This window comes from Homo sapiens, chromosome 3 (assembly GCF_000001405.40).
Source record: "Homo sapiens chromosome 3, GRCh38.p14 Primary Assembly".
Classification (NCBI taxonomy): domain Eukaryota; kingdom Metazoa; phylum Chordata; class Mammalia; order Primates; family Hominidae; genus Homo; species Homo sapiens.
Genome location: NC_000003.12, coordinates 137,308,570 through 137,321,822, shown reverse-complemented (window position 1 = coordinate 137,321,822; position 13,253 = coordinate 137,308,570). Strand labels below are relative to the sequence as shown.

Below are 13,253 nucleotides of genomic sequence, written 5' to 3'. Positions count from 1 at the left end.
TTGTCTAGATATTTAATGATATCAAGTTTTTCTAAAATTTAGATGTGATCATGGCTTTATAGTTAAGTTCAAAAATTATTTTTTATCCTTTAGATTTAGAGATACATAATAAAATACTACAAGTGAAATAATATGATGATGTTTGCCTCAAAAAAAATCTGGTTTGAGTGGAGGTATAAATTAAAGTATATATTAATAATAAATGGTGGGCAAAAGGTTTATTCAACTATTCTCTTTACATTTGTAGTTGCTTAACATTTTCATAATAAAAATTTTTTTAAAAATACGAAGAAAATTTAACATAGTCTGATGCCTGAAGTCCAGCCAGTAGACTTGACTTCCTCTTCTCTTCCTATCAAATGAAGATGTGTCTACAACAGTAGCTTTGATAAGCCAATGGGTGAGAAGTAGTCATTTTGACTGGAAACTTTCCTTTTTAATAAACCATAAAATTGCATCTAGGGGAAAAATTATCTTAGAGCTATAGCTGGGGGACTGACATTTGTAAGTTCTCTAACCAACAGAAACTGAACACTTCTTCCTCTAGCCATTGTTCTGGAAGGATGAATGGTGCAGAACCATAAGCAGCCAACTCACTTATTCTATTATATCTTTTTCTATTAAATCTAGTACGTAAGTTTCTTTCTTTAAGGAAAAAAATCATAATTTAATTACTTTTCTCAAATTGTCACATATTACTGAAAATTTATCAAGGACTTGCAATTGGAAATCACTAGCAGAGCCAAAGAGGAGGTGGATAAGCATTGTGGATAGGAACTAGGGTTTATTCCATCAGACTAGTAGGGTTTCTAATTTCTCTTTCCCATGTACCCACTACATAATAACTACATTATGAGGTTGTTATTTGGGGAGTTAAATGAATTAGTACCTGCAAAGCACTTAGAAAAATGGTGCCTGGCACATATTATGCACACAATATATATTTTTTAAACCATAGAACATTCAGATGACTTGTTCGGATATAAATAATGAAATATTTTTGTATTCTAGGCTAGTGGTTCTCAATGAGAAGAGATTTTGCCTCCCAGGGACATTTGGCAACGTCTGAAGGTATTTTTGTTCGTTCGTTTCAACTGGAGCAGTGCTCCTGCCAGCTAGTGGAAACCCACGGATGCCAGTAAACATCCTACCACACACAGGTCAGCCTCTCAAAATTATCCAGCCCAAAATATCAATAGAGACAAGGTTGAGAAATCCTGTTCTATGCCCACTCACCTTATGAAAACACATTTAGCAGGAGTAAGCAAATACCTTTCCATATTAAGTTTCTGTTCATTGCTTTGATTACTTCTCCATCACTGAAAGTACAAATCAGGCATCTATAATGTCCCCATTTTACATACACACTAGAAAACATAGTGAATATCTTATCTGTATTAGCATATTTGTTATTTTCAAAAACAGAATAAAAATATGGTTCAAAAGAATATTTAAGAAGATGAGTTCCACAGTCCATCTGGGTTCAATTTAAACACATTGAACCTCAGTCCTCCTATTTACTAACTGTGTAATATTAAACTAGTTAGTTAGCCAAGACTCAGATCTATACTTCTTGAACAGGATGAAATAATAGTTCTTAACTTATAAAATTATTGTGCTAAATGATATAATCCATGTAAATCAATCAATACTGTATCTAGCAAAAAAAAGCAAATATATATTGTTATTAACATACAACTTTAAATGCAAGCTAAAGAAAATAAAAGCTATATCTCAATACTACTGAATAGTACACTTAGAAATAGTTAAGATGGATTCCTGGACAAGATGGCCCAACAGGAACATCTCTGGTCTGCGGCTCCCAGCAAGATCAAGGCAGAAGGTGAGTGATTTCTGCATTTCCAACTGAGGTACCTGACTCATCTCACTGGGACTGATTAGACAGTGAGTGCAGCCCACAGAGGGCGAGCAGAAGCAGGGTGGGCGTTGCCTCACCTGGGAAGCACAAGGGGTCAAGGAACTCCCTCCCCTAGCCAAGAGAAGTCGTGAGAGACTGTGCTGTGAGGGATGGTGCTATCTCACCCAGATACTATGCTTTTCCCACGATCTTTGCAACCCACAGACTAGGAGATTCCCTCAGGTGCCTACACCACCAGGGCCCTGGGTTTCAAGCACAAAAATGAGCAGCCATTTGGGCAGACACCGAGCTAGCTGCAGGAGTTTTTTTTCATCCCAGTGGTACCTGGAATGCCAGCGAGACAGAACCCTTCACTCTCCTGGAAAGGGGGCTGAAGCCAGGAAGCCAAGTGGTCTAGCTCAGTGGATACCACCCCCAAGAAGCCCGTCAAACTAAGGTCCGTTGGCTTGAAATTCTCGCTGCCAGCACAGCAGTTTGAAGTCGACCTGGGACGCTTGAGCTTGGTGGGGGGAGGGGTGTCGGCAGTTACTGAGGCTTGAGTAGGTGGTTTTCCCCTCACAGTGTAAACAAAGCCGATAGGAAGTTCGAACTGGGTGGAGCCTACTGCAACTCAGCAAAACCTCTGTAGCCACACTGCCTCTCTAGATTCCTCCTCTCTCGGTGGGGCATCTCTGAAAGAAAGGCAGCAGCCCCAGTCAGGGGCTTATAGATAAAACTCCAATCTCCCGGAGACAGAGCACCTAGGGGAAGTGGCGGCTGTGGATGCAGCTTCAACAGACTTAAACGTTCCTGCCTGCCAGCTCTGAAGAGAGCAGCGGATCTCCCAGCACAGTGCTTGAGCTCTGCTAAGGTACAGACTGCCTCCTTAAGTGGGTCCCTGACCCCCATGCCTCCTCTGGGAGATATCTCCCAGCAGAGATCGACAGACACTTCATACAGGAGAGCTCTGGCTGGCATCTGGCAGGTGCCCCTCTGAAACAAAGCTTCCAGACAAAGGAGCAGGCAGCAATCTTTGTTGTTCTGCAGCCTCCGCTGGTGATACCCAGGCAAACAGGCTGTGGAGTGGACCTCCAGCAAACTCCAGCAGAACTGAAGCAGGGGGCCTGACTGTTAGAAGGAAAACTAACAAACAGAAAAGAATAGCATCAACATCAACAAAAAGGACATCCATCCACACATAAACCGCATATGAAGGTCACCAACATCAAAGACCAAAGGTAGATAAATCCATGAACATGAGGGAAAAAAAGGTGCAAAAAAGCAGAAAATTCCAAAAACCAGAATGCCTCCTCTCCTCCAAAGGATCACAATTCCTCGCCAGCAAGGGAACAAAACTGGATGGAGAATGAGTTTCACAAACTAACAGAACTAGGCTTCAGAAGGTGGGTAATAACAAACTCCTCCGAGCTAAAGGAGCATGTTCTAACCCAATGCAAGAAAGCTAAGAACCTTGAAAAAAGGTTAGAGGAATTGCTAACTAGAATAACTAGTTTAGAGAAGAACATAATTGACCTGGTAAAGCTGAAAAACACAGCACGGGAAAGCATACAGAGGTATCAGTAGTCAAATCAATCAAGTGGAAGAAAGGATATCACAGATTGAAGATCAACTTAATGAAATAAAGCATGAAGACAAGATTAGAGAAAAAAAATGAAAATTAATGAACAAAGCCTCCAAGAAATATGGGATTATGTGAAAAAACCAAACCTACATATGATTGATTGTTGTACCTGAAAGTGATGGGGAGAATGGAACCAAGTTGGAAAACACTCTTCAGGATATTATCCAGGAGAAGTATGCCAACCTAGCAAGACAGGCCAACATTCAAATTCAGGAAATACAGAGAACACCACAAAGATGCTCCCCGAGAAGAGCAACCCCAAGACACATAATTGTCAGATTCACCAAGGTTGAAATGAGGAAAAAAATTTTAAGGGCAGCCAGACAGAAAGGTCGGGTTACCCACAAAGGGAAGCCCATCACACTAACAGTGGATCTCTCTGCAGAAACCATACAAGCCAGAAGAGAGTGGGGCCAATATTCAACATTCTTAAAAGAAAAGAAGATTCAACTTAGAATTTTCCACACAGTGGGAGACTTTAACACCCCACTGTCAATATTAGACAGATCAATGAGATAGAAGGTTAACAAGGATATCCAGGACCTGAACTCAGCTCTGCAACAAGCAGGCCTAACAGACATCTACAGAGCTCTCCACCCCAAATCAATAGAATATACATTCTTCTCAGCACCACATCGCACTTATTCTAAAATTGACCACATAATTGGAAGTAAAACACTACTCAGCAAATGCAAAAGAATGGAAATCATAACAAATATTCTCTCAGACCACAGTGCAATCAAATTACAACTCAGGATAAAGAAACTCACTCAAAATCGCACAACTATATGGAAACTGAACAATCTGCTCCCAAATGACTACTAGGTAAATAACGAAATTAAGGCAGAAATAAATAAGTTCTTTTAAACCAACGAGAACAAAGATACAACATACCAGAATCTCTGGGACCCAGCTAAAGCAGCGTTTCGAGGGAAATTTATAGCACTAAATGCCCACAGGAGAAAGCAGGAAAGATCTAAAATCAACACCCTAACATCACAATTAAAAGAACTAGAAAAGCAAGAGCAAACAAATTCAAAAGCTAGCAGAAGACAAGAAATAACTAAGATCAGAGCAGAACTGAAGGAGATAGAGACATGAAAAACCCTTCAAAAAATCAATGAATCCATGAGCTGGTTTTTCAAAAAGATTAGCAAAATAGATAGACCACTAGCAAGACTAATAAAGAAGAAAAGAGGGAAGAATCAAAAAGACTCAATAAAAAAATGATAAAGGGGAGATCACCACCAATCCCACAGAAATACAAACTACCATCAGAGAATACTATAAACACATCTACAAAAATAAACTAGAAAATCTAGAAGAAATGGATAAATTCCTGGACACCCACACCCTACCAAGAATAAACCAGGAAGAGGTCAAATCCCTGAATAGACCAATAACAAGTTCTGAAATTGAGGCAGTAATTAATAGCCTACCAACCAAAAAAAGCCCAGGACCAGACAGATTCACAGCCAAATTCTACCAGAGGTACAAAGAGGAGCTGCTACCATTCCTTCTGAAACTGTTCCAAATAACAGAAATATTTCTGTTCCAAATAACAGAAAAAGAGGGACTCCTCCCTAACTCATTTTATGAGGCCAACATCATCCTGATACCAAAACTGGCAGACACAACAAAAAAAAACAAAATTTCACATCCTGATGAACATCGATGTGAAAATCCTCAATAAAATACTGGCAAACCAAATCCAGCAGCACATCAAAAAGCTTATCCACCACAATCAAGTTGGCTTCATCCCTGGGATGCAAGGGTGGTTCAGCATACACAAATCAATAAATGTAATCCATCACATAAACAGAACCAATGACGAAAACCACATGATTATCTCAATAGATGCAGAAAAGGCCTTCGACAAAATTCAACAATGCTTCATGCTAAAAACTCTCAATAAACTAGGTATTGAAGCAATGTATCTAAAAATAATGAACGGTATTTTGACAAACCAACAGCCAATATCATACTGAATGGGCAAAAGCTGCAAGCATTGCTTTGAAAATCGGCACAAGACAAGGATGCCCATTCTCACTACTCCTTTTAAACATAATATTGGAAGTTCTGGCCAGGGCAATAAGGCAAGAGAAAGAAATAAAGGGTACGCAAATAGGAAGAGAGGAAGTCAAGTTGTCTCTGTTTGCAGATGACATGATTGTATATTTAGAAAACCCCATCATCTGAGTCCAAAATCTCCTTAAGCTGATACTCAAATTTAGCAAAGTCTCAGGATACAAAATCAATGTGCAAAAATCACAAGCATTCCTATACACCAATAATAGACAAACAGAGAGCCAAATCCTGAGTGAACTTTCATTTGCAATTGCTAAAAAGAGAATAAAATACCTAGGAAAACAACTTACAAGGGACGTGAAGGACCTCTTCAAGAACTACAAACCACTGCTCAAGGAAATAAGAGAGGACACAAACAAGTGGAAAAACATTCTGTGCTCATAGATAGGAAGAATCAATATCGTGAAAATGTCCATATTGCCCAAAGTAATTTATAGATCCAATGCTATCCCCATCAAGCTACCACTGACTTTCTTCACAGAATTAGAAAAATCTACTTTAAATTTCATGTGGAACCAAAAAAGAGCCTGTATAGCCAAGAAAAATCCTAAGTAAAAAGAACAAAGCTAGAGGCATGACTTCAAACTATACTACAAGGCTACAGTAACCAAAATAGCATAGTACTGGTACCAAAACAGATACATAGACCAATGGAGCAGAACAGAGGCCTCAGAAATAATGCCACACATCTCCAACCATCTGATCTTTGACAAACCTGATGAAAACAAGCAATGGGGAAAGGATTCCCTATTTAATAAATGGTGCTGGGAAAACTGGCTAGCCATATGCAGAAAACTGAAACCAGATCTCTTCCTTACACCTTATACAAAAATTAACTCAAGATGGGTTAAAGACTTAAACGTAAGACCTAAAACCATAAAAACCCTAGAAGAAAACCTAGGCAATACCTTTCAGGACATAGGCATGGGCAAGAACTTCATGACTGAAACATCAAAAGCAATTGCAACAAAAGCCAAAGTTGATAAATGGGATGTAATTAAACTAAAGAGCTTCTTCACCACAAAAGAAACTATCCTCAGAGTGAACAAGCATCCTACAAAATGGGAGAAAAATTTTGCAATCTATCCACCCGACAAAGGGCTAATATCCAGAATCTACAAGGAACTTAAACAAATTTACAAGAAAAAAAAACCCATCAAAAAGTGGGCAAAGAATACGAACAGACACTTCTCAAAAGAAGACATTTATGCGGCCAAAAAACATATGAAAAAAAGTTCATCATCACTGGTCATTAGAGAAATGCAAATCAAAACCACAATGAGCTATCTCACACCAGTTAGAATGGTGATCATTAAAAAGTCAGGAAACAACAGATGCTGGAGAGGATGTGGAGAAATAGGAAAGCTTTTACACTGTTGGGAGTGTAAATTAGTTCAATCATTGTGGAAGACAGTGTGGCAATTCCTCATCTATCTAGAACCAGAAATACCATTTGACCCTGCAATCCCATTAGTGGGTATATACACAAAGGATTATAAATCATTCCACTATAAAGACACATGCACATGTATCTTTATTGCAGCACTATTCACAATAGCAAAGACTTGGAACCAACCCAAATGCCCATCAATGATAGACTGGATTAAAAAAATGTGGTACATATATGCCATGGAATACTATGCAGCAGTAAGAAAGAATGAGTTCATGTCCTTTGCAGGGACATGGATGAAGCTGGAAACCATCATTCTCAGTAAACTAACACAGGAATAGAAAACCAAACACCGCATGTTCTCACTCATAAGTGGGAGTTGAACAATGAGAACACATGGACACAGGGAGGGGAGCATCACACAGGGAGGCCTGTTGAGGGGTGGGGGGCTACGGGAAGGATAGCATTAGGAGAAATACCTAAAGTAGATGATGGGTTGATGGGTGCAGCAAATCACCATGGCACATGGATACCTATGTAACAAACCTGCACGTTTTGCACATGTATCCCAGAACTTAAATAATAATAATAAAGATAGCTGGCCCAGAAAAATTCAACTATTTCAATGGTGAGCAACAAAAAAGGGAATTGATACAGCATTAAAAGACAGATATTGGAGGAAAAAATGCAGAAAAGAGAATCAAAACTTAGCAACATACAAAGAATCCTCATAATAAAAAATGTTCCCCAAAACAGAGGAAATTTGTAAATATTTCAATTATCTATTGCTGTCTAACAAATTACCTAAAGCTTGATGGGTTAAAACAACAACTACTTATATCTTATATTTTTATGGGTCAGGAATTCAGACAGGACTCAGCTGGGCGATTCTTTCACTGCACATCTTTTCAACTGGGGTCACTTGGTAGTTTTCAGCTGGTGGTTTGGTTGGTCTGGAGATCTAAGTAGGCTTCACTCACATGCCTGGCACCTTGTCAGTAATGTCTGGAAGCCTGGGCTCATCTGAGCTGCTTTTTCACTTTCTATAGTCTCAAAGCCTCCTCACATAATCTCTCCAGCATGGTGGTCTCAGGATAGTCAGCCTTCTTACATGGGAGTTCAACGTTCCAAGAGAAAGACAATAGAAGCTCACAGTTTCTTAAGGCCTGGGTACTGAAGCCAGCATAGCTAGTTTCTCTGCTATACTCTGTTTAGCAAAGCGGTCACAGATGTCACCCAGATTCAAGACAAGAGGACATAGATCCCACCTCATTGAGAGGAGAGTCACAGAATTTGCAGCTATCTTTAATCCACTGCTGTAATCAGGACTTTCACCATGAACTATAAATAGCCTTTATGAAGGAAGGAATGCTACAGAAAGAAATGTAAGAATCAGGGAGAAGATGGTCAGACAACAAGAGGATAGGAAAGGTAAGCTGGTACAACCCCACTCTCCCCCAAAAAAAAGTAGAAGTCAAAAATAAAACCATCGTGGATCCCAAGGGTTAGAGTCTTCAAAAAACACTGTAAAACAATGTTTCTCGTACCTAAAATGTATGTGACTCAGCTGGGGGTTTTGTTAAAACACAGATTCAAATTCAGTAGGTCTGGGATAGGGCCTGAGAGTCTACATTTCTAACAAGCTCCCAGCTGGCGTTTATCAGTGGATGACACTTTGAAGTAGAAAGGGCTTGTGGGATATAGAAGAAAGGAATAAGAAACCACATTACTTCAAAATAAAGGAAGAGTTTTTTAAATTACAGATAAAATGATAGAAGCAGACGAGCAAAACAAATTCAACTTACAAATAACAAAACCAAGAAAACACTAAAACAAATATGGGAATTAGAGTCACTAAATTGGGACCCTAATACCTAATTGGGACCCTAATTTTATGGGACACCTGTGTCCCAATAAAGTAGAAAAGATACCAAAAAAAAAACCTGAAAAATGGGAAGGAACAGTGAAGGGGAAGTGGGAGGTATTATAATAAATAATAGTAATAAATATCTTGATTGCTGAATCTGTAATGACTGGAAGTCAAAGGATATTGTTTAGAGCTGGTAGATCAGTAACAGAAACATAAGCATATGTGGTAATACAAAGGTAAACACTAAGATACTAAATACAACACAGAGGGGAAGGAAGAGGAAAAAGCAAATTTTATCTTTCCAATATCAAGAAATGGTGGAGTTTATCAATAGTTGCACTGAAATGCCTAGGTGTGCTGAGACAGTGATATCCTTAGGCCCTAGTGCCACTGGAGAGTTTGAGGTCGCAGAAGAAACCCCACCCTCACCCAGGCCAGCCACCTTCAGATGTCTCATCCATTAACCAAAATGTGTCATGCAAATACCATCTTTTAGATATGCCATGATGTGAACCAGGCTGAGAAGCACTTAATTTTGGAACTAAGGATATTATAAATAGTCATAATTATGAAGATAATAATTAGAACAAAACTACAACTTTTTATATACTAGAAGAACTCAAAGCATGAGACACACACACCCACTCACATGTGTATAAGGAGAGAGAGCAAAGCAAATAAAAGATCCAGTGAACAATTTAAACTGTCTATATAAATAATATAATAAAATGATAAAAGTAACACTAAAAACATCTATCTTACCAATTAATGTAAATAAACTTTAGTCATTTATTTTTAAAAACATCTTTAGATTGGATCACAAAACAAAAACTAACTCCAAGCTTTATATAGGAAGCACTCCTAAAACAAAGCAATTCCAGCAGGTTGAAAACAAAAGAATGGGTAAATGTGTACTAGGCAAATGTAAACAAAAAAAGAACATTAGACTTGATGTTAATATCAAGCAAGACAGAATTCAGACTACAAAGCACTAAACATGTCCAAAAAAAGGCATTTTATAATGCCAAAGAATGCAATTCACAATGCAAATTAAACATTTATTTAATATATAGGCAGTAGTAGTCATAAATATTCAGAAATATACTAGTAGTTGTAGATTTTGATTCAGCTATCTGAGTTCATGACATATTATGGAGATAGAAAAGAAAAAATCAAAGACTTAATTAACAAGATAGATATAGTTAATCTGTATTGAACGCTGCACCTTGAAAGTATACTACACTTATTTTCAAGTGTCCATGGAACATACTCATATATATGAATATGCATTAAGCCAAAAGGAAACTTTAAGAATCTCCAGAAAGTAGGAAAAGTATAGAAAAATCTTCTGACCACTATGTAATAAACTAGAAATTCAACGACAAAAGTGGAAAACAAAAAGACATTTCTATCTAAAAATTTTTAAACTCTGCGTTAATCAACTCTTGGGTTAAAAAAGAAGTACAAACCCAAACCAGAGGATTTTTGTAAAACAATGATGATAAAAACACTGTATTTGAGAACCTATGATAAACAGGTAAATTGGGCCCAGAGGAAAATTGATAGCCTTTAATACATTAATTAAAAAGATGAAAAATAAATGGATTTAGAGTCTAACTCAAACTGTTAGAAAAAAAAGGTAATAACAAAATAAACCAAAAAGAGAGAAGTAAGCAGTTAAATGAAGAAATTAATGAGTTTGAAAACAAAAAAAAAGGAATACTAATGAATACAAAAACTGACTTTAAAATATCTCTGTTTTGGTACGAGTACCATGCTGTTTTGGTTACTGTAGCCTTGTAGTATAGTTTGAAGTCAGGTAGTGTGATGCCTCCAGCTTTGTTCTTTTGGCTTAGGATTGACTTGGTGATGTGGGCTCTTTTTTGGTTCCATATGAACTTTAAAGTAGTTTTTTCCAATTCTGTGAAGAAAGTCATTGGTAGCTTGATGGGGATGGCATTGAATCTGTAAATTACCTTGGGCAGTATGGCCATTTTCACGATATTGATTCTTCCTACCCATGAGCATGGAATGTTCTTCCATTTCTTTGTATCCTCTTTTATTTCATTGAGCAGTGGTTTGTAGTTCTCCTTGAAGAAGTCCTTCACGTCCCTTGTAAGCTGGATTCCTAAGTATTTTGTTCTCTTTGAAGCAATTGTGAATGGGAGTTCACTCATGATTTGGCTCTCTGTTTGTCTGTTATTGGTGTATAAGAGTGCTTGTGATTTTTGCACATCGATTTTGTATCCTGAGACTTTGCTGAAGTTGCTTATCAGCTTAAGGAGATTTTAGGCTGAGACAATGGGGTTTTCTAGATATACAATCATGTCATCTGCAAACAGGGACAATTTGACTTCCTCTTTTCCTAATTGAATACCCTTTATTTCCTTCTCCTGCCTAATTGCCCTGGCCAGAACTTCCAACACTATGTTGAATAGGAGTGGTGAGAGAGGGCATCCCTGTCTTGTGCCAGTTTTCAAAGGGAATGCTTCCAGTTTTTGCCCATTCAGTATGATATTGGCTGTGGGTTTGTCATAGATAGCTCTTATTATTTTGAGATACGTCCCATCAATACCTAATTTATTGAGAGTTTTTAGCATGAAGGGTTTTAGATCAGTGGAACACAACAGAGCCCTCAGAAATAATGCTGCATATCTACAACTGTATGATCTTTGACAAACCTGAGAAAAACAAGCAATGGGGAAAGGATTCCCTATTTAATAAATGGTGCTGGGAAAACTGGCTAGCCATATACAGAAAGCTGAAACTGGATCCCTTCCTTACACCTTATACAAAAATTAATTCAAGATGGATTAAAGACTTAAACGTTAGACCTCAAACCATAAAAACCCTAGAAGAAAACCTAGGCATTACCATTCAGGACATAGGCATGGGCAAGGACTTCATGTCTAAAACACCAAAAGCAATGGCAACCAAAGCCAAAATTGACAAATGGGATCTAATTAAACTAAAGAGCTTCTGCACAGCAAAAGAAACTACCATCAGAGTGAACAGGCAACCTACAAAATGGGAGAAAATTTTCACAACCTACTCATCTGACAAAGGGCTAATATCCAGAATCTACAATGAACTCAAACAAATTTACAAGAAAAAAACAAACAACCCCATCAAAAAGTGGGCAAAGGATATGAACAGACACTTCGCATAAAAGAAGACATTTATGCAGCCAAAAGACACATGAAAAAATGCTCACCATCACTGGCCATCAGAGAAATGCAAATCAAAACCACAATGAGATACCATCTCACACCAGTTAGAATGGCAATCATTAAAAAGTCAGGAAAGAACAGGTGCTGGAGAGGATGTGGAGAAATAGGAACACTTTTACACTGTTGGTGGGACTGTAAACTAGTTCAACCATTGTGGAAGTCAGTGTGGCGATTCCTCAGGGATGTAGAACTAGAAATACCATTTGACCCAGCCATCCCGTTACTGGGTATATACCCAAAGGACTATAAATCATGCTGCTATAAAGACACATGCACACGTATGTTTATAGTGGCACTATTCACAATAGCAAAGACTTGGAACCAACCCAAATGTCCAACAATGATAGACTGGATTAAGAAAATGTGGCACATATACACCATGGAATACTATGCAGCCATAAAAAATGTTGAGTTCATGTCCTTTGTAGGGACATGGATGAAATTGAAAATCATCATTCTCAGTAAACTATCGCAAGGACAAAAAACCAAACACCGCACGTTCTCACTCATAGATGGGAATTGAACAATGAGAACACATGGACACAGGAAGGGGAACATCACACTCTGGGGACTGTTGTGGGGTGGGGGGAGGGGGGAGGGATAGCATTAGGAGATATACCTAGTGCTAAATGACAAGTTAATGGGTGCAGCACACCAGCATGGCACATGTATACATATGTAACTAACCTGCACATTGTGCACATGTACCCTAAAACTTAAAGTATAATAATAAAAAAAATAAATAAAATAAAATAAAAATATCTCTAAGTTAAGTAAATTGCTAGCTGACCTAATTAAGATAAAAAGTACAATTGTGGAAATGTTTAAAATAATAAAATGAAAACAAATAGGAAAATAAGGGAAATTAAAAGAATCTTAAAGAATAGTCAACTCTGAAAATCAATTAGAAAACCTGGCTGGATTAAATAGCTAACTTTTAGGAAAATATAATTTACTAAAATGTGCCCAATAAGAGATTGAAAATCTAAACTAACTGACCTCTGGAGAAGAAAAAGAAAAGTTGTCAAAGAGCTATGTTCCCACACCCCATCCCCACTCCAACACACACAGGAAAACAGCAAGCCCAGGAGCTTCAAGGGAATTCAGTCAAATTTTAAAGAAGTCCATACCAATACCAATCTAGGTTACTTTAAGTGATAGGAAAAGTTCCAAAT

The 13,253-nt window shown here is 37.9% G+C and overlaps 1 annotated feature.

Moving 5' to 3' along the window:
- Nucleotides 1,299-2,498: an enhancer, noted in NCBI's record as "MED14-independent group 3 enhancer chr3:137038167-137039366 (GRCh37/hg19 assembly coordinates)". NCBI's record gives its function as "activates an origin of replication core promoter dependent on BRD2, BRD4, P300/CBP and CDK7 cofactors, and independent of MED14, by STARR-seq in HCT116 cells {active_cell/tissue: HCT116}" and the evidence as "EXISTENCE:reporter gene assay evidence [ECO:0000049][PMID:35650434]".